The sequence below is a fragment of the Homo sapiens genome, chromosome 1, assembly GCF_000001405.40.
Source record: "Homo sapiens chromosome 1, GRCh38.p14 Primary Assembly".
Taxonomy (NCBI): domain Eukaryota; kingdom Metazoa; phylum Chordata; class Mammalia; order Primates; family Hominidae; genus Homo; species Homo sapiens.
Window position 1 is genome coordinate 24,404,134 of NC_000001.11, and position 21,996 is coordinate 24,426,129.

Consider the following 21,996-nt stretch of genomic DNA (forward strand, 5'->3'; position numbering starts at 1 on the left):
AACAGGAACAGGTGATCAATTTTATCAAATACTTTTTCCGCATCTATGGAGATGATCATACAATTGTTCTTTGTGAATATATTAATTGAATTACATTGATTGATTTTCAAATGTTAAAACAACCTAGTGTTCCTGGAATAAATGCTACCTGGTCATAAGATATTATCACTTTTATATATTGAAGGATTCAGTTTGCTAAAATTCTGTTAAGGATTTTTGCATCTGTGTTTATGAGGGCTATTAATCTGTAGCTTTCCTTTTCATTTTAAAAATGTCTTTGATTTGGGCATCAGGGTAATGCTTGCTTCATCACATGAGTTGGAAGGTGTTTTTTTCTCTTAATTTCTGGCACAGTTTGCGTAAAATTGGTATTAGTTCTTCCTTAAATTTACAAGTTAAGCCGTCTGGGCCTGGAGTTTTCTTTGCGGGAAGATTTTTAATGACAAAGTCCATTAACTTAATACATACAGGGCTCTTCAGATTATCTATTTCTTCTTAACCGAGCTTTGGTAATTTGTGTATTTTAAGAAATTTTTTTCATTTCATCTATCACGAAACTTACGGGCATAAAGTCATTTATTATCCTTTCAATATCTGCAGGTTCTGTAGTGATGTCCCTACTTCATTCCTGATATTGGTAATTTGTGTTTTACATATTTTTGTTAAGTCTCGCTATAGGTTTACCAATGTATTGATTTTTTCAGAAGAAAACAGCATGTGGTTTTATTGATATTTCTTTACTGCTTTCCTAAATTTTCTATTTCATTGACTTCTATGATTATTTTTTCTTTCTTCCTGCTTACTTTGGGTTTCATTTGTTCTTCTCTTTCTAGCTTTTTAGGTGGAAGCTTCAATAATTGAATTTAGACCCTGGAGTGCAGTGGCACAATCTCAGCTCACTGCAACCTCCAACTCCCAGGTTCAAGTGATTCTCCTGCCTCAGCCTCCCCAGTAGCTGGGATTACAGGCACTCCCACCACACCTGGCTAATTTTTTGTATTTTTAGTAGAGACAGGGTTTCACCATGTTGGTCAGGCTGGTCTCGAACTCCTGACCTCAAGTAATCTGCCCACCTTGGCCTCCCAAATTGCTGGGATTACAGGAGTGAGCCACCGCACCCAGCGCCTTCTTCTTTCTTAATACATGTATTTAATATCTTAAATGTTCCTGTAAGCACCATTTTAGTGGCATCTCATATATTTTAACATGTTGTGTTTTCATTTTTCTTTCAGTTTAAAATATCTTTTATTTTTCATTGTAATTTCTTTTTTACACATGGCTTATTTAGAAGTCTGATGTTTAATTTCCAAGTAGTCAGGGGGATTCTCTAGTTATCTTTTTGTTGTTGATTTGAATTTTCCTTTTGTTGTTGAATGGGATTTTTTATAAATGTCAATTAGGTAGCATTGGTTGATAGTCTGTTCAAGTCTTTTACATCCTTACTGATTTGCAATGTATTCCTTCTATCAATACTAAGAAGTGTTGAAATTCCCATATTATATTATTGTGAATTTGTTTATTTCTCTTTTAAGCTTTGTCAATTGTTGTTGTGTATTTTGAAGCACTATTACCAGGTGCATGAACATTTATAATTTTTATGTCTTTTTGGTGAATTGACCCCATTATCATTACGAAATACCCTGCTTTAGCCCTGGTAATATTCCTTGTTCTGAAGTCTTATTTTTTCTGATATTAACATGGCCATTTTGGCTTTCTTTTGATTACTATTAGCACACTATATTTTTTCTATCCTTTTACTTTTAACCTGCTTGTGTCTTTATATTTAATTATTGAGTTTTCTTCACACTTCTGCTTGCAGGAATGTGTCTTTATATTTAGAGATGGTTTTTTAAAGAAAACATATATTAGGTCCTGGTTTTTAATCTAATCAAACTCTGCCTTTTGATTGGAGTGTTTAGAACTTTTACATTTAATGTAGCACTTGATATGGCTGGGCTTAAACCTATCAATTTCCTACTTGTTATATTGGCCCTTGTCTCTTTTTTTTGGATCTTTTGAGAGTAAGTGCATATTACTTATGGCCTCATTTTATCTTCATTTCTGACATATTAGCTATACTTATGTATAGTGATTAAGGTTTACAGTATACATCTTTAATTTATCACAGTCAAACAATAGTATGTTACTTCACATATAATGTAAGAATTTTACAAAAATACACTTCCATTTCCTACCTTCCATCCTTTTTGCTACTTTTGTATACATTTTATTTCTACATATATTATTAATCTCATATTTTTTTAAACACTCAATTATCTTTTAAGGAAATTAAAATAAGAAAAAAGTATTTTATCATTTTCAGTGCTTTTCAATTCTTTGTGTAAATTCAAGATTCTTTCTAGTGTCATAGTCCTTCTATCTACAGAAATTCTTTTAACTTTTCATGCAGTGCAGGTCTTCTGATAATGCATTCTCTAGGTTTTTGTCTGTCTGAAATGGTCTTTATTTTTCTTTTATTTTTGAAAATTATTTCCACTGAGTATAGAATTATGGGTTCATAGGTTTTTTTCTCTTCCTACCTCTCCCAAGAACTTTTATATTACTCCTTTGTCTTCTGACATGCATAGTTTCTGATGAGAAGTCCACTGTAATGCTTATTTTGATTCCTCTGTCAGTAATAATTCTTTTTTTATCCATCAACTTTTAAGCTTTTCTGTGTATCACTTTCATTCAGCAATTTGATTTTTCCTAATTTTTTATTATGGTAAAATACACATAACATAAAAATTTGCCATCTCAACCATTTCTAAGTGCACAGCTGAGTGGAATTCAAATTCATAATGTTGTGCAACCCTCACCACTATCCGTCTCTGTAAATCTTTTCATTGTGAAAAACTGAAATGCTATACCCATTAACCAATATGGTACTTCCCCAGTATTTCCTACAATATGGTGTTTCCTCAGTATTTCCCCATTCCTTTTTCCCTGCAATCCCTGGCAACCACCATTGTACTTTCTATTTCTATTACTTTGACTATTCTATGTGCCTCTCAGCAATTTTATTTTCATGGTACCTTGGCATAATTTTCTTTATGTCTTTAATATTTGGGTTTTAATGAACTTCTTTAATCTGTAGGCTACAGTTTTCACCAAATTTGGAAAATATTCAGCCATTATTTTTTCAAATAGTTTTTCTGCCTCTGCCACCTTCTTTCCTGGGGCTACAGTTATATTAGATCATTTCATATTTTCCCAAAGGTTATTGATATTCTGTTCAATATTTTTAAGTCTCTTTTCTCTCTGTCCTTCATTTGGGTAGTCTATATTGTCATGTCTTCAAGTTCACTGATTTTTTTTTTTTTTTTTTGACGGAGTCCCGCTCTGTCACCCAGGCTGGATTGCAGTGGCGCAATCTCGGCTCACTGCACCCTCTGCCCCCAGCTTCAAGCAATTCTCTGTGTCAGCCTCCCGAGTAGCTGGGTACAGGTGCCTGCCACCATGCCTGGCTAATTTTTGTATTTTTAGTAGACACGGGGTTTCACCATCTTGGCCAGGCTGGTCTTGAACTCTTGACCTTGTGATCTACCTGCCTTGGCCTCCCAAAGTGCTGGGATTACAGGCATGAGCCACCATGCCCGGCCAAGTTCACTGATCTTCTGAAGTCTCATCAGCTGCAAATCCCATCCATTGCATTCTTATTTCAAATATTGTATTTTTTCTTTCTAGAGGTTACATTTGGGCTCTTTTTCTATGTCTTCTATTTCTAGCCTCATCATGTTCAGTTTCCTTTACATCCTTAGGAATATTTGTAAGATTCATAGTAGCTGCTTTAAGGTTTCTTTGTACTAATTCTATAATCTGTCATTTTTAAGTCTGTTCCTATTGGTTGATTTTCCTCTCAGATATGGGTCATATTTTCCTTTTCATGTCTGGTAATTTTGTATTAGATATTGGACATTTTGAATTTTACATTGCTGGGTGCTGGGTTTTGATATATTCCTGCAAAGGATGTGGCACACTTTTCAGTAACTTGTAGATCCATCTGACCCTTTCAAGCTTTTAAACTTTGTTATGGCAAGTCCAGAGCAGCTTTTATTCTGGGAATAATTTATCCCCACTACTAAGGCATGACATTTCTGTGAACTCTACCCAATTCCTATCTAATACCATGTCTCTGCATTCTGGTTTATGGTAACATGCAACATTCCCAGTTCTGTTTAAGCCCCAGAAATTGTTCAGCCTATGGCCTTTTGATGGGTATTTCCCCAGTCTTAGTTTCTTCTCATGCATGTGCAGATTACTGCTCAGCCAAAAACTTAAGGAGACCTCTCTTCAGGTTTCTGAACATTTTTGGTGCAGCTCCTTCCTTTAGGGTTCTCCCTATAAATTCTAGCCTCTTTGGCCTCTCTGAATTCTTATTTTTATCTTCTCAACTCAGAAATCTAGAATTCATTTGGATTTCCTACAATATGGCCTAAAAACTGACCCCAGTACTAAATGGGGGCAATTGTAGGACTCACCGTGTTTTTCTTCCTTCAGGGATTATTGTACTGTGCCTGTTGTCCAATGTGAGTTGTTTAACACATTTAACTACTTTTTAGTTGTTAATAGCAAGGGCACAATTTAATTTCCATAGCAATTATTTTTTATTAGCAGACTTGGGTTTCATTTTGCCCATTTTTTTCCCTAAGGAACTTATACCATTTATATATACTAATGAGTAAAGGATTGAATAAATGATTTTACACTCTACTGGTCCTTTTCCATGCAGTATTTTTCCTTACTTTATTCTGTAATCCTCACAGCAGCAATTTTCAACTTTTTTTTGGTGGACAATCTATACTAAAAATTTGATATTTAATAGAATTATTGACAACATTCTTCAAGAAATTAAGAGATTCAAAATAACAGAAACAAATCAATAATGATCAAAGCACAATCACCAATCCAGCTTAACAAGGTCTTTTAGTATCTATAAAAGCAGCCCCTAGGGCTGGGTGTGGTGGGTCACTCCTGTAATCCCAGCACTTTGGGAGGCCGAGGTTAGGCGATAGCTTGAGCTCATGACCAGCCTGGGAAACATGGTGAAAGTCCGTCTCTACAAAAAATATAAAAATTAACCAGGCATGGTGGCATGTGCCTGTAGTCCCAGCTACCTTAGGGGCTGGGGCAGGAGGATCACTTGAGCCCAAGAGGTCAAGGCTGCAGTAAGCTATGTTCGTGCCACTGTTCTTCAGCCTGGGTGACAAAGTGAGACCCTGTCTCAAAAAATAACCAAAGCAGCCACTATTCATTTACCACCCCTCAGTGTTATACCATTTTAGTAAGAACCATCTACTGCCCTAGCTTTAATAAAGCTGTTATTAAAAAATGTATTAGTGTTCTGGAATTATGAGTGATTAGAAAAATATTAAGCTTCCTGTTTTACAGTAGTCCACCCTTGTCTGTAGCTTTATTTTCCAGTTTCAGTTACCCATGGTCAATTGTGGTTTGAAAATATTAAATGGAAAATTCCAGAAATAAATAATTCATCAGCTTTAAATTATGCACCATTCTGAGGCATGTGATGAAATCTCCTATCGTCTGACTCCACCCTACCTGGGATGTGAATCATCCTTGTCCAGCACATTCAAGCTGTATTTGCTACCCCACCATTAGTCACTTAGTAGCCATCTCGATTGTCAGATCCACCATCACGTTGTCTCAGTGCTTGTGTTCAAGTAACTCTTACTTTACTTAATAATGGCCCCAAAGCACAAGAGTAGTGATGCCAGCACTTTGGACATGCCAAAGACAAGCTGTAAAGTGCCTCCTTTATGTGAAAAGGTGAAAGTTCTTGACTTAATAAGGCAAGAAAAAAACTGTATTCTGAGGTTGCTAAGATCTACAGTAAGAATAAAACTTCTATCCATCAAATTTCAAAGGGGAAAAAAATTGGTGCTAGTTTTGGTGCTTCACCTCAAACTATAAAAAGCTGTTGCCACAGAGCATGATAAGTGCTTAGTTAAGATGGAAAAAGCATTAAATTTGTGAGTGGAAGATATGAACAGAAACAGTCTGATTGACAGTAATCAGTTTGGGTATTATCCACTGTTTCACTGGCATCTACTGGTGGTCTTGGAACATATCCCCCTTGAATAAGGGAGGACTACTATAATAATAATGTATGTACACTGTCAACATTTAAGAAAATATGATAAATTACAAAAAAACTTTAAACAATCTGCAATCCATGGCCGAGCGCTGTGGCTCACACCTGTAATCCCAGCACTTTGCGAGGCCGAGGTGGGCGGATCATGAGGTCAGGAGATCCAGACCATCCTGGCTAACACAGTGAAACCCCATGTCTACTAAAAATACAAAAATTAGCTGGACATGGTGGCGTGCACCTGTAGTCCCAGCTACTCAGGAGACTGATGCAGGAGAATCGCTTGAACCCAGGAGGTGAAGATTGCAGTGAGCCAAGATCGCGCCACCGCACTCCAGCCTGGGCAACAGAGCGAGACTCCGTCTCAAAACAAACAAACAAACAAATAAAAAACAATCCCCAATCCTACCACCAAAAGACCACACTGTTAATAATGCTTTCCAGTCTTCTCACTGCATACCTGTGAAGGCAGGATGAGAGCAGGTGCAGGACAGATGTGAACAGAGCACTGCCCAGGTGTGCCTCACTGGTCCACCTGTATAACTGTCCATGACAGGATGGCATGGACCTAGAATCTAAGAAAGAGCAGTGAAGATATACCACTTTCCGAATCAACAACATATGTTTAAGCGATTCCTACGTGGGGGCCAGCGCAGCAGTCCAGAGTATCCAGTCCTGGGTTCAAGGTTATGGCCTGCCACTTAATAGCTCTGATTCTCGATGAGTCACTTAAACTTCTGAGCCTATTTCCTCCTCCATAAACTGGGAGTGATAACAGTACCTTCCTCTTAGGCTGATCCATGTGAAGTGGTTAACACTGCCTATCCTGCAGTAGGCTTGTATTAATGTAGGGTTTTAATATACGCACAGGGATATCGTATTAACAACTTAAAATAATAGCTATCATTTATTGAGCCTGCACAGTCCTAAATGCCTTCTATGGAATACCTTATGCAATTTTTATAATAATCCAGTGAGGTATAATCCCCACTTTTTACAGATGAGAAAACTTAAGTTTGGTGGGGGGTTAAGTGACTTGCCCAAAGTCACATTAGAAGAAAAGTGGAATCAGGCTTTGAACTCAGGAAGTCTGACTTCTACTCACTCCTTAACCTCTATAATAACCTCTCAGGCAGCACACACTAAATATTAACTTGCTAAATTTTGACATTTAGCACCCGAGTGGGTATGATTGGTTTGTTATTATTATTTTTAGAAATAGGATCTTGCTGTGTCGTCCACTTGCTAGAGTGCAGTGGTGCAATCATAGCTTACTGCAACCTCAAACTCCTAGGCTCAAGTGATCCTCCCACCTCAGCCTCCAGAGTAGCTAGGACTACAGACACCTGCCACCACACCTGGCTAGTTTTAAAATTTTTTGTAAAGACAATGTCTCACCTATGCTGCCCAGGATGGTCTCGAAATCCTAGCCTCAAGTGATCTTCTCACCTCAGCTTCCCAAAGCACTGGGATTACAGTGAGCCACCGTGCCTTACCTGGTTGGGTTTCTGAAGTTACAATATTGCATATAGTTTTCAAAATATAAAGCAAATAAGGGATGGCTGGGTGGGGGCAAATATTTGACTCTCTTGAATATTCACAGAATGCTAGGTTTCATCAGAACACAGTTTAAAAACTCCTGGGGGAAGTTCACTGTTGGACAGTTCTAATTGCTAGAAAGTTCCTTCCTGTATCAAAGCTGATTCTCTCTCTCTTTTTTTCTTTTTCTATCCGTCCTAATTCCCACCCTTGGAACCAACTCAAAGTAAGTCTCATTTCTCTTCCACATTGGTGATTTTCAAAATGCAAGTCATAGTCTGTAGTCTTTTGTGAAGTTTTAGTTTGTCATATGCGTGTGTGCATGCTGGGTCACAATATAAAATGCATTTACCATGAGTCACAGTCAAAAGGTTTGAAAGCCACTGTTCTATATGACTATTCTGCAAGAATTTGAAGGCAGTTGTCGTGCCCCACCACCTAAAGACTAATCTTCTTCTCCACATGGGACCTCCCTGGCTTTTGCCACATATCTCCTTGCTGCATGGGGAGCTCCTTTCCTCACCGGACCCAGGCATCGTCCTGCAGTCCTGTCACAAAATTCACGAGACTCTCTGCTCAAACCTTCTTAGGGATGACTTCCCTGACCACCCTCTCTTAAGAAGCACCAACCCATCTCTCTCTAGCCCCTTACTCTGCTTTATCTTTTTCAAAGCACTTTTCACTACCCAACATTATATTGTATGTTTATTACTTTATTTGTTTATGATCTTCCCCAGTAGAAAGTTCAACTCTGAATCTTCAGTCTATTTCCTCACATACAGTATTTGCTCAATTGGCCAGGCATGGTGGCCCACACCCGTAATCCCAGCACTTTGAGAGGCTGAGGGGGAAGGATGGCTTGAGACAGAAGTTCAAGACTACCCTGGGCAACATAGCAAGGCCCTGTCTCTACAAAAATAATAATAATAGTATTGAGAATTTTTAAAATTAGTATTTTCTTCATAAATATTGGTGGAATGAATGAATGAATGAATACTAGAGGTAGACACCTTTTAGCAATTGTGTGTACAGCTGTGCTCAGAATATATTTCCAGCGGGAGTTAGATTCTACAAGGACAGCTCACATGATCACAACTATAGGCACAGTTTCATTTTATCATCTCTTGTGTTTTTAAAAAACGTTATATATGCTAAGTATTACAGTTTACATTATACATGTTACTGTACAGGGTATATAAACATGTACTAAACTATGTATACTGTTACTTTAGATAGAATTTTTTTGGATGTCCTGAGTAGTTTCGTCTGTAGGCGATTTTTATCTACTCAGTTATAAGCATCTTGGAAGCAGCTTACATTTTTTCAAAGCACTCTCAGGTAAATAACCCATTCGATAGTCTTCATAGGCTGAGAAAGTGTATCAGGGAGCTGGAAGGAAATTTAGCGGCGGGCTAGTGACCACCAGGTTCCAATCTCACCCTTTTATTTTACAGATGGGTAAATCGAGGCCCAGAGCAGGGAAGTCGTTTGCTGGGGGACACCCCCTGAGCTGGGGTGAACCTATGAGTAGAGATCAGGTCTTTGGCGTCCACCCACTGCCAGGCACTGAAGCCTCCCAACTTTTGCGCACTCGCGGAGCCTGAGCCAGAAGGGTCGGACGCCCACGCCCCTGGCAGGAGCTCGGTGGAGCAGGCAAGCCCCAGTTGTCACCACTTTTCGGGTGGAAACACCGAGGACACGCCCCGACGCAGGGGCAACTCCCATGGTGGCTTCTTCCCGCCCTCGGGGCTCCACCTAGCTCAGCCCTGGAATTCCGCAAGCACCCGGAGGCCGGGGGGTCTCCGCGGGCGTCCCATGCGGAGGACATGGTGCGCCGTGTCCTCTTCCCCACGACCTCAGGGACCGGTCCCCCCGCCGGAACTGCTTCCTACCTGGTCCGGTCCCGGCAGCTGAATCTGGCCAGCCCAACCTCCCGGTCGCTATGGCACCCACAGGCCTAACATTCGCGAGTCCACCTTCCGCCGTCCGCGAGGTAACTCCAGCCAATGGCATCCTCTGTTTCTTTAACGTGAAAAGTTGTTGACCAATCATTAGAGGCGTTTCAAAGTCCGCAGAGAAGCCGGCCGAATTTTAGGGCTTAGGTTAATTACATCAGGGCCTGTAGCGGGGTGGGGAACTAATAAGAGGTTTATCTAGGCCATGCTTCAAAAATCTTGTGATAAACCAAAAGCCTCAGAATTTTGCTCACTCAAAAATCCTGCTTCAAGGAATATACCTAAAAGAATTAACATTCATCCAAGCCCTGTTTCTTTTTTTTTTGAGACAGAGTCTCGCTTTGTCGAGCAGGCTGTAGTGCAGTGGCGCAATCTTGGCTCACTGCAACCTCCGCCCTCCAGGTTCAAGCGATGCTCCTGCTTCAGCCTCCTGAGTAGCTGGGATTACCGGCGCTCGCCACCACGCCAGGCTATTCTTTTTGTATTTTTAGTAGAGACAGGGTTTCACCACGTTGGCCAGGCTGGTCTCGAACTCCTGACCTCAGGTGATCCACCCGCCTCGGCCTCCCAAAGTGTTGGGATTACAGGCGTGAGCCACCACGCCCGGCCCCAAGCCCTGTTTCTAACAGAAGAAAAAAAAAAAAATTGACATGGGCGACTATACAAGGGCAGCCACTTAGTATTCCAGGAGCCCCTCTTCACACGCTTCAGGGCAGGGCGGTCTCAGCGACCTTGTCACTCCCCTGCTTAAAGTCCTCCAATGGCTCGCCTTTAAATTTAGGGTGAAATCCAAGCTTTTTTTTTTTTTTTTTTTTTTTTGACAGGGTCTTGCTCTGTCGCCCAGCTGGAGTGCAGTGGCGCGATCTCGACTCGCTGCAACCTCCGCCTCCCGAGTTCAAGCGATCCTCCCGCCTCAGCCTCCTGAGTAGCTGGGACCACGGGCGCTCGCCACCACGCCCGGCTAATTTTTAAATTTTTTTGTAGAGATGGGGTCCCACTATATTGTCCAGGCTGGTCTCAAACTCCTGGGCTTAAGTGATCCTCCTGGCCTCCCAAAGTCCTGAGATTACAGGTGTGAGCCACCGCGCCGGCCCCCAAATATGTTATTTATAAACTGTCCCTGGCCCGTCCCTCAGATCGCAGGCCCAACCACGCCCCCAGAAAAATCTCTCACCAGCCCTGCTGGCCTTCGGGCAGTTTCTACAATGCACCAACTCGTTCCTCTCCCATGTTCCCAAGGAGCTTTCTCTGCCCCACGATCTGAGACTAGAACTGCCTCTTTCTCATTGTTGATGTCTAGGCCCAAATGACATTTCTTCATACGTAAAACGGGCTTCAAGTCTCACTCATGGCTGTGACGATCTGAAAGCAAATGCGTGTATATGACAACGTGTGAGCGATGAGAAGCTTGTCATCTGTAAAACTCCATGCGCATGTTAATTATCATGGCCGTGATAATTATGTACATTATAGAAACATTAACCAAGCGCTGGGCTCGTTTCAGGACCTTCAGTATTGCTGGGAGGCTTGGTATCCGACAGGTGTTCCAGGAGGGCAGGAAAGGAGAGATATGTTTGGTCCCAAGTCTCGCGAGGGCTCTGGGGAGCGCTGGGTCTTCAAGGACGTTTTGGATTTGAATACTTGGTGAGAGCGTCGGGTAGGGGAACAGCAGGAGCAAAGCCCGGAAGGTGGCTATGAGGATAAGAAGGGAGGACACCTGGCAGGCTGCTAAAACCAGGCCCACCTGCCGGGCAGGTGGAGGCGAGCAACCACCTAAGCTCTCTGGGACAGCGGGAGAGGGGGCAGGGGAGTCGCCGCACCATTCTTCCTGTGGCCGCTAGGGGGTCCCCGCTCCAGGTGAGCGCCAAGCTCTAGCCCCAGGTCGCTCCCTTATGCTTCAAGCAAGCTTTGCAGCGCAGCCAATTGCCAGGGGCTGTCCCGCCTACTCCCCGTCCTCGCAGCCACTTGCCTGCGCGAAATGCCTGCCAACTTCTGACTGGCAGGCAGTCTGGCAAATCAAATCGCGACCTTTGAAAGCAAAACACTGCAGCATCTTGGCAGCTCTGAATTGGGAAGGGATGAAGGAGGCTGTGCCTCCGGGTTGCACGAAGAGTCCGAGTCATTTCTCAGAAGGTTTTGATAGGTGGGCCTTAGAGGAGACGCCGCCGGTGAGTAGTGATTAACACCGGGAGGAAGGGGAATTGAATTTAACCTTCGTTTTTTTCTGGAAAAAGCGAAGTCACCTAACGTCCCCTAGTGTACATACCCTTCCTTCTTACTGTCACCAGCCTCGCCAACCTGGGTCCCGTTGCCTTGGAATGTTCTTTCCAGTTTTGCATCGAGGCCAAGAGGAGCGGGGGCATGGGCTACCTTACTAAAGGTGATGCCAGGCTCTACCAAACCAGGAAGTGACATGGAGTTAACTTTGCCAGAATTTCTCCTCTTCGTGCCGAGCGGCTCGGGCTTCCTGGCGGCAGCAGATGGTGGAGTTAGCAGGTGGGATGAGGGGAGGCGTTCTTGGTCTAAGCCCGCTTCTGGAACAGAGGTGCTGTCTCCTCGAGTTGTAAGTTTCCAGCTCAGTGGGACGGGACGGAAGAATGTAACCTTCTCGTGAGCCAAAGCCGAGGAACGGGAAGCTTGGCAGGGAACTGGCGCTCACCTCCAGAAGCCAGATCGTCGGGTGGTGGGAAAGAGCGTGTTTTATTGATTTGTTCAGAAAGAGGCAAATTCGAATACAGACGCTATGAGCCACGGCTGTCTCATTTGTAAAACGTGCTCTGTGGGATTGGTGAAATCCGTCATCGAGATAAACGGGGTGGGAATGGAAGCAGAGCACCTAGTGAATTCTCATTCCTTCCTTGGGTCAGTGACCACGTGCTCTAATTGTGGGGTGGTTGACAACGCAGAGGTGACTGCTTGCCTCTCGGGCATATGTAGGTCCTGAAGAAATGCTTCGAAATCAGGAAAAGAGAGTCACCAGGTGAAAAGTATGTGTCTTATAAGGGAGTACAGCTTGCAAAGGGTTCCTCCAGGCTTTCAGTCCGGACTCCCACCCAGCTGAGGGAGAGCCTTCAATCTTTGCAGGCGATGCTTCAGAGGCCTGCGAGTTCCTGAGGCAGAGAGGGAAGCTGCTTTTTAAAAGAAAAATTAAACCACAGCAATGCCAACCACCACAAACAAAAGCAAAACCAGAAAAGCACTTGGGCAAACTACTCTGAAGGATGTTAGGAGGCCTGGGTTCCCACCACTCCCTTGATTGACATGTCGCTAAGGTCTGTTGGCTTTCTCTGACCTCCTGTGGGTGGGGCTGAGTATATCTGCTTGTTGAAGCTCTGGAGTTGTGGTTGATTAGGCCTTAGAAAGGCATTCTTGACTGCGAAGGGGCCACAGTGCACCCAGTGCTTAACCAGCCTGCATTTAGTCAGTCGGTTGGTATGTATACAAGTCACTGTCAGGCTCTGGGCTAGATCTCATTTAGTCAGTTGGTTGGTATGTATAGAAGTCACTGTCAGGCTCTGGGCTAGATCTCAGCTGGGAGCAACTGAACAGGGTATTCCGCAAACACCTCACTGGAGTTTGCGCTCCTCAACTCCATGACTGCTTCATGGTTGAATGCTTCCCGGGGCCTCTCAGAGGTAGAAAGAACCCTGAGCCACTCTTAAGGCTCTTATGATTATTACAAATGCTAAAACATTTTTACAGAAATGTAACACAATAATGCTTTTCACATGTACGTGAAAGTATAGTGAACAATTATGCTTTCCACAAGATTGCAAACACATATTCATAGGGTTTTACAGGCAGGGAAGTCTAGCTATGGGATGTGAATTACCTGATAAAGTTACCCGGTGAATGCTTACATCTCATGTCTGTATATTGGATATATAACCTCGTCTGCAGGTAGTAGCAATAATTTCATCCTGAGGCCCTCTGACAAAGTGAAACCAAGCCAAATGGTTTCTGTAGCTGTCCCTATGCTAAACCTGCATTTGTTGTATCCCAGGACTGGACATGGTGTTCCCCTTATCACATATGTATGTGCTGTCCACACCATGAACCAGAATTCCTGGGCCTAGGGCCGGATAGCAGAAGGAACTGGAAGCTACAGGATACACAGGAGGCAGCTCTCTGAAGCCTCAGGGAGTGGCAGAAATTGTTTAGCTCACAGTGAGCCCTCAGTAAATATTTGTTGGATGAATGCATGAGAGAGAAAGGAATGGACAAAATAAATAATTAAACAGGAGAGAATAAAATTAATCTTAACAGCAGCTCACATTCATGGACCATTTGCTATGCCTGCATTTTACATGTATGATTTCATCAAATTCTCATGACTGCCATGTGGAGTGGGAACATTATTATCTATATTTCACAGCTGGAGAAACTGGCTGAAAAGTTAAATGACCTGGCAAAGGTAAAACAGGTAGCACATGGCACATCAAAAGCAATTTAAAACATTTTTCTATTAAAATAAACATAGACTATGCAGTAGAATACATTTCTAAAAAATGTATAAAAAGTCCTCAAAGAAAACCCTAACACTTTTAAGCAGGGTTTTGGCCATGCCTCCTAGGACACTAGAAGTATACTTTCTCTTCTCTGTTTGGTAGCAAATTTTGAGAAGTGGCACACACCTGTAATCCTAGCACTTTGGGAGGCTGAGGCAAGTGGACTGCTTGAGCCTAAGAGTTCAAGACCAGCCTGATAACATGGCGAAACCCTGTCTCTACAAAAAAATTAGCCAGGCCTTGTGGCACGCGTCTGAGGTCCCAGCTACTTGGGAGGCTGAGGGAGGATTGCTTGAGCCCAGCTTGAGGCCATGTTTGTGCCACTGCACTCCAGCTTGGATGACAGAGTGAGATTCTGTCTCCAAAAAAAGGAAAAGTTCGGGAAGCACTGAAAATATAAGTCCGATGAAATTAGTAGGGATTCTCATCATTGCTGGGTTTATTTGAGGCCACATTATTACCCCCACTTTACAGAGGAGGCAACTGAATCTCTGAGAGGCAGAGTTACCTGGTCACACAGGTTTTCCACCTCCGAGACCAGTGTCACCTCACCTGTGTCAGGCCAATCCTCGGTAGCAGGCCAGTTCTTCTGTTTTCCATGGATGTAGCTTTTCTTCTGATTCTTTTCTTCCTAAGCTGAAACTTAAATAGTTCCCTTTTCGTGGTAGTGGAATTGTTTTTTTTTTTTTTTTGAGACCTGGAGAAGTTAGTATTCTACTTCTTGTGCTCAAGAGCTATGGAAAAAGGGAGGATTTAAGTTAGGGTGCGATGGGAGGAAGGAAGCAGAGTGGAGGAGGAAAGGGAACATTAAGGGCCAGGGAGAAAGCTTTTGAGATAGATGAGTCAGGTTTGTATTAAGGGGAGGACAAAGGCATGATAGGACTTGTTTTTAACTGCTAGAATTGAATTTTGAAGAATTTTTTTAATGGACTCACTTGTCATGGCCGGTTACGTTTTATCTGAATGGTATTCTCTTCTCAGATAACAAAGCTGGGCTCAGTGTTTCCTTGTCCATGCATTTTTAATGTTCCTCTCCACCACCCTAGAGCACCGCAAGAACTGGAAAACACACCCCTCTCTGTCTGCCTGGGAGAGCCACGGAAATTGGCACTTCTCTGAGTGAAGCTGAGGAGAAGGCTGTAAATCTGCCAAAACAGCCTTGAAGTATTCTTTTGTCATGAGGAAGTGACGGCTGCTGGAGGGAGGTGAACACCACAAGGAGAGATGGCATCTGGCCTGGGCCCCGCCTAGCAGCAGCTCCACCTCCTAGGCCAGGCCCTGTGGGATGCGCCACTAGACCACCATGGACGGATCCCACAGCGCAGCCCTGAAGCTGCAGCAGCTGCCTCCCACAAGTAGCTCCAGCGCCGTAAGCGAGGCCTCCTTCTCCTACAAGGCAAGGGCTTTTTTGGGGTTTGGGAATTTGTATTTTCCTAGCAAGGAAGTTACACAGTGCTCTGCATTGGCTAACAGATATGTATGGGGTCTGCATGCCTGTCACTGGTAGAAACAGGCAGGCTCTTCACACAGACAAGGGAATGTGTAAGCAAAAGACAAGAGATGGGCCGGGAGTGGTGGCTCACACCTGTAATCCCAGCACTTTGGGAGGTGGGCGGGTCACGAGGTCAAGAGATTGAGACCATTCTGGCCAGCATGGTGAAACCCCGTCTCTACTAAAAACACAAAGATTGGCTGGGCGTGGTGGTGCCCACCTGTAGTCCCAGCTACTCGGGAAGCTGAGGCAGGAGAATCACTTGAACCAAGGAGGTGGAGGTTGCAGTGAGCTGAGATGGTGCCGCTGTTATCCAGCCTGGTGACAGAGTGAGACTCTGTCTCAAAAGGAAAAAAAAAAAAAAAAGAGATGCTCATTAAAATACATAAAAATAGGGAGGCAGAGAAACACCATAAAAGGTATAGAATAAAAGGAATGCATTCCCACTTAGAAGATTTGATTTTTAAAAAATCACCTACTCTGGGCCAGTTGTGGTGGCTCATGGCTGTAATTCCAGCACGTTGGGAGGCCAAGGCGGGAGGATCTCTTGAGGCCAGAAGTTTGAAACCAGCCTGGGCAACATAGTGATACCCCGCCTGTACAAAACAATTGAAAATTAGCCAGGTGTGGTGGCATGTGCCTGTAGTCCTAACTACTCAGGAGGCTGAGACGGGAGGATTGCTTGAGCCTAAGAGTAGTTTGAGGGTGCTGTGAGCTATGATTGCACCACTGCACTCTAGCCTGGGTGACAGAGCAAGACCCTGATGCCAAAAAAAAAGTATATATATATATAGGTATGTATGTATATCACCTACTCCATTACTTGGAGATAATTTTCATTCGGATTTCAGTATATCTCCTTGTTTTTTTCTAGTATTATAAATTTGGGGTCACATTGCACATAAAGTTTTGTATCTTGGTTGTTTAACTTGACCTTACTTGTGGAATATTTCCCCATGTCATCAAGTAGTGACTGAAAGCATACTTTTCGAATGATTGCCCAATAATCCGTTGAGCTGCTGTGTCAAAATTTGCTCAACAGATCCTCATTGCTGGATATTCAGGCTGTCTCTAATCTGGAGTGGCTGTAAACCATGAACATCCTGGAGTGTAAATCTCTGTGCTGATCTCTGATCCTTTCCTTAGATATAGTCATATAGGTACAACGAATAGGTCAAAGGGAATGCACCTTTTTTAACAAGGGGATTTTAATGACAAATTTAAGTGTTCCTAAATACCTATCAGTGCAGCATCTGATTACTGGGATTTATTGAAAATTATTTTTTTAAAGATCAGAGAGGCCAGGTGTGGTGGTTCATGCCTGTAACTTCAACACTTTGGGAAGCCAAGACGGGTGGATGGCTTGACCTCTGGAGTTCAAGACCAGCCCGGGCAAACATGATGAAACCCTGTCTCTACCAAAAATACAAAAAATTAGCCAGGTGTGGTAGGGCACCTACCACACAAAAAATACAAAAAATTAGCCAGGTGTGGTAGGACCACCTGTGGTCCCAGCTACTTGGGAAGATCATTTGAGCCAGGGAGGAAGAGATTGCAGTGAGCCAAGATTGCACCACTGCACTCCAGCCTGGGTGAGAGAGTGAGACCCCACCTCAAAAAAAAAGAAAGAAAAAAAGATCAGTGACTGCTAATACCGTAGAGCTAAAGGAGACTTTAGAGATCATCTCATCAAACCTCTCATTTGATGGACTGGAACAGTGAGGCTGGGAGGTGAGAAGCGACATTCTTAAGATCCTATAGCAAGTTGAGAGGAAGAGCTAGAACTATTGTTAATTTTAGATAATAATGATGATCATAATAACAGTGACTAATATTTATTGAGCATTTATTCTATCCCAGGTACTGTGCTGAGTTCGTCACATGCCTTTCCTTGAGTAATCTTCACACTAGCACTACACAGTAGGTCCAGGTTTCCTCCTCTGTGGAATAGTAACTGCCTCCTGGTGGTGGTGAGGATGAAATGAATTTATTCATGTGAAGCCCTTAGGCAATGACCCACACATAATGGCCAGTGTTTGTCAAGTGCTAGCTGTTACCATCTTTATCCCCACTTTAGAGACAAGGAGACTGAGACAGAGAAGTTCAGTAATGGCCCTGACTGGCACAACTAGTAAGTTGTGCAACCAGAATTTAAACCCGGGTCAGACCAGCTGCAGAACCCATGCTCCTAACTGCGGCGCTGCTCTGACTCTCCGGTGTCCTGACTCCTGCTGCTGCCACCGCATCCCAGCATGCCCAAGGAGGGGACTCTGCAGGTCATTAAAGGCTTTTGTCATTTTAATTCCTTCTGACCAGCCAGATGGAATATGTATGGAAATTATGAACATTTGTCTGGAATTAGACTCATTCTAGAGCGAAGATTGACTCTGACATTCTCAGTGGACTCTGCCTCACCAAGCAAACCAGTTTCAGAGCCAAGATGGCATGATTGTTTCAGCATTGGCATCTCGCTCCTTGGTCTTCTTTCCATGAAAGCCTGTTGTTTCCCCTTCCTATGCAGCTACTGTATTCATCTAGGGCTCTGTTGGGAAGGGTATCAGACTGAGAACTGGGAGACCTGAGTTCTTGGGCCAGCTCTGTCATCTCTGGGTGTGTGATCTTGGGCAAGTGTCATCCCTTCTCTATGCCTCAGTTTCTGTCTCTGTAAAATGAAGAGGTAGAGTTCATAGATGGTCCCCAATCCTGCCTAACCACCTGAAATACCTGGGGAGCTCTAAAACATGCAGATTTCTAGGCCTCAGACTCATCTCTCCCTGCCTTCACCCTTTTACCCCCTCGTCTCTACTCCCCTGCAAATTGTGGTTTTGCATAGCTAGGCTAGAAACCCAGAACGTGCATTTTGTAAAACCTCTTCAGGTAAATCAGATAATCAGCCAGGTGTGGGAATTTCTGGACCACATGATCTGCTAAGCTCCTTCCCACACCAACTCCATCATCCTGAGAAATCAAGATCTCAGGCCACCACGTCTTAGCAGCACTGATATTCAAAGTGAGCAAAACACTCTTCTCAAGTAGGCAGTGTTACTGTTCGCATCCTTGGAGGTGTCCACGTGCTTCACAGAGCATTATTCAAAATGGAACAGGGTTTCAAATCAGAAAACACTTTTCCTATCTAGCCTTTTTATTGACATATGGTATGCATACAGAAAAATATACAAATCATAAGCTCTAGATGTTAAATTTTAATGAAGAGGGTGCATACATGTTACTGACGCCCTAATCAAGAAACAGAACATTACTAGTACCCAAAAGTCTCCTTGTGCCCCTGCTAGTCACTCCCCTCCCCGCAGGGGTAATCACCCTCTCTTCAAGTCAGAAAACACATTGATGGTGGCACAGTCTTGACTTCAGAGGAAATTCAGGAGCTACTGGTCAGCTTGAGTGAATACTGCCTTACATATTGAAGGTGCTGAGTGCTTTCATTCTGTGAAGGAACCAGAACATTCCATTCTGCTTTCGATATTCAGAGTCTACACCATTTCTAATGTAATGATAGAAGCTGTTCTCTTGAGTTTTCCCTGGGCCTTAATTTATGGAGATGACAGAGTAACTCCATGGATGGCTAATGCCATTGAAGAAGATTTTTGTTGCTTACATTTCCTAAAAGAAGGAGGCACTCACGCCTGTAATCCCAGCACTTTGGGAGGCCGAGGCAGGGGGATCACGAGGTCAGGAGATCGAGACCACGGTGAAACCCCATCTCTACTCAAAAATACAAAAAAATTAGCCGGGTGCGGTGGCGGGTGCCTATAGTCCCAGCTACTGGGGAGGCTGAGGCAGGAGAATGGCGTGAACCCGGGAGGCAGAGCTTGCAGTGAGCCGAGATCGCACCACTGCACTCCAGCCTGGGGGACAGATCGAGACTCCGCCTCACACACACACACAAAAAAGGCATATCATGCTGCAGAGGGCCACACGGGACACACCAAGGTCAGTTGGTTAGAAGCAGAGGGCATGTGGGGAAAGCTTAGATCAGAGCCTTTATTGTGTTTTTCTGTGGGAAAGGCATGGCAAGATGGCGAACAGTTTAGGACTGGCTGATTTGAAGAACTCTGGGTTGTCTGGTACGTAGCCCTGGGTTGATTTAGAGCAGGGAAAATATTGATCTGGGGTGTGAGAGTTTATTTAATAAAGGAGATGTTTGCAGCTCTGGATTGGTTAGTTAGCATATGAAAGGCATGCTCCTTAGAATATAAAAAATCAGTTAATACAATTGGCCCTGTGATGAATGAATGCCAAATGGACAAATATAAGAATCTAAGAAAACTCAGAGCACTCTCCCTGATGAGATTTCTAGTAAGTTTCCATTTTAATCACAAATTCAATTCAGTTGCCTAGTATGGAATATCTTCATGCCAGAGCAAAGCTGAATTCATGGTGACTCTACCAAGGATGTATGAATTGAGGTGAGGGACAGGCATGGTTGTGATGATGATTGAGTTGACTGAAGTACTGGGTGGGGTAAAGAGAAGAGGACCTGGGTCCAAATCCCCAGTGTTCCTTCTTAGCTAAGTGACCTTGGGTGTATGGTACAACCCTGCAGAGCTCCTGTTGCCTTATCTGTAGAATGTTGGTTTTCATCCTTCCCTCCCAACGGCTGTGTGGATCAATGAAAAAGCACCTAACACAGTGTCTGACCATGCACTAGGCATGCTGGAAATATGTGACTCAGAAATGCCACGGGGTTTCCAAGAGGAACAGATGAAGGTACACAGAGTAGAGGGGACGGTGTGGTTAATTCTGCGTGGGGATGGGGAGAGGGGTTTTGAGGGAAAGCCATCTCCTTTCTCGATTTTGTTAAGGCTATTTTGATTGCAAGGAGTAAAAACCCATTTCAGAGAAGCTGAGGCAAAAAGGGAAATTATTATAAGGCTACAGGGTAGCTCATGAAATCCAGTGGCAGGAAAGGCAATGGGGCTTGGAAGGTTCTAGAACTCATACCTCCCCTTTAAAAGAGGGAAGACCTGAGTGGCCAGCTTGGGTAAGGTGTCTACCTGGTCCAGTCGGTGATGGCCAGGGAGTGCCACCCAGCTGATGCCACCTGGCAGACATGGTTTCTGAGGCTCTACCATTATGGGCAGGTCTCAGAAAAGTGGTCATGTGGGCTGGGCAGGCTGCTCGCAACTCATCTCTTACCTTTGGGAGGAGGAAAATATTGAGAGACTCTTAAGTCCAGCTTGATGGGTGGGATGAAGTTAGGAGCAAGCTGTCTGCCTTTGAGTTTCAGCCCTGCCCTCTGCCCTGCCCATCAGCGTATAAATTTTGGTTGCTGGGGAGGGCACTTTGCTACAGGAAGCCCCCCAGGCTGAGCTGCCCAGGAAGCAGCTCCCAGCAGGACATTGACACTGTGGAAGCTTTACCTCAGCTGGGAAAAGTCAGGTCTCAATTCTTCTGTTGAGTGAGTAGACATTTCATCTGAGCACCTACTCTCTCCAGCTTGTGCTGGGTGGGGCGGGAGCTATATAGATCAAGCTTGTCCAACCCACAGCCCAGGACAGCTTTGAATGCAGCCCAACACAAATTTATAAACTTTCTTAAAACATTATGAGATTTTTTTTGCGATTTTTTTTAAGCTCATCAGTGGCTATCATTAGTGTTAGCATATTTTATGTGTTACCCAAGACAATTCTTCTTCCAATGTGGCCCAGGGAAGCCAAAAGATTGAACACCCCAATATAAATCATCAAGACAGATCTTCCCTGGTTACAGTCTAGGAGGGAGGTGGGGAAGATACATTTTCACAAGTGTTTACCCCTCAAGACAGAATTCGACACAAAAATAGAGATACAACAGAGTGTTAAGAGCATGACCTTTGGAATCAGAGACTTGGCTCCAATCCCTGGCCCTATTACCTTTCTTCTTATCTTTTTAGGAGACAGAGTCTCCTGTGTGGCCCAGGCTGAGTGCATAGTGATTATAGCTCTCTGCACCAGCTCTGTTATTTTCTAGCATTATAACTTGGGGAAAATCATGTAATGCCTCTGTGGGTAAGTCTTATACCCATCCTATAGGGTAGTTATGAGAATGACCGGAATTTACAGATAAGCAAACCGAAGCTGCCTGCACCACCCCCTGCTTCTGCCTTCGGAAATCCTACCCAGCCTTCCAGCGCAAGTGTCACCTTTTCATCCATGAAGCCTTTGTCAGTCTTCCTGGCAATAAAATATAGGTCCTTTAGCCACCCTTTCATAGCCAATTAACAATGATTATTGTAATCATCATCATAAAAGCAACTAACATTATTTACTTATAGAACAGGAACTGTGCTAATCCTCACAAAAGCTCTCATGAGATAGGTACGGTTATAACCCCATTTTACCTGTGACGAAACTGGCGCAGAGAGGTTAATTAACTTGCCCATGGCCACACAGT

The 21,996-nt window shown here is 43.7% G+C and overlaps 2 protein-coding genes across 29 annotated transcripts in view, besides 2 other annotated features; one reads left to right on the top strand and one right to left on the bottom strand.

Moving 5' to 3' along the window:
• STPG1 (sperm tail PG-rich repeat containing 1) overlaps positions 1 to 10,911 on the bottom strand; it is a 58,046-nt gene extending 47,135 nt beyond the window's left edge. For 3 of the 6 annotated variants that reach the window (NM_178122.5, NM_001199013.2, NM_001199014.2), the window contains exon 1: positions 9,541 to 9,649. The gene's annotated coding sequence lies outside the window, so the exon portion shown is untranslated. Of the gene's footprint in view, positions 1 to 9,540; positions 9,671 to 10,777 lie in introns of those variants that run through there. The other 3 variants (XM_011542403.3, NM_001199012.2, XM_047433681.1) reach the window with 2 other exon arrangements.
• Positions 9,145 to 9,264: an enhancer, noted in NCBI's record as "active region_400". NCBI's record gives its function as "activates an Ori minimal core promoter by ATAC-STARR-seq in GM12878 lymphoblastoid cells {active_cell/tissue: GM12878}" and the evidence as "EXISTENCE:reporter gene assay evidence [ECO:0000049][PMID:35858748]".
• The window catches only part of NIPAL3 (NIPA like domain containing 3), a 59,460-nt gene continuing 46,854 nt past the window's right edge, over positions 9,391 to 21,996 (top strand). For 11 of the 23 annotated variants that reach the window (NR_136508.2, NR_136506.2, NR_136507.2 and 8 more), the window contains exons 1-2: positions 11,669 to 11,771; positions 15,158 to 15,507. Coding sequence is in view for 14 of the 23 variants with exons in the window: in NM_020448.5 (NP_065181.1) it covers positions 15,415 to 15,507 (93 nt within the window). In the remaining 9 variants the exon portion in view is untranslated. Of the gene's footprint in view, positions 9,642 to 11,668; positions 11,772 to 11,891; positions 12,167 to 15,157; positions 15,508 to 21,996 lie in introns of those variants that run through there. The other 12 variants (NM_001322864.2, NM_001322861.2, XM_017001868.2 and 9 more) reach the window with 7 other exon arrangements.
• Positions 14,451 to 15,650: an enhancer, noted in NCBI's record as "CDK7 strongly-dependent group 2 enhancer chr1:24745074-24746273 (GRCh37/hg19 assembly coordinates)". NCBI's record gives its function as "activates an origin of replication core promoter dependent on BRD2, BRD4, P300/CBP, MED14 and CDK7 cofactors, with strong dependence on CDK7, by STARR-seq in HCT116 cells {active_cell/tissue: HCT116}" and the evidence as "EXISTENCE:reporter gene assay evidence [ECO:0000049][PMID:35650434]".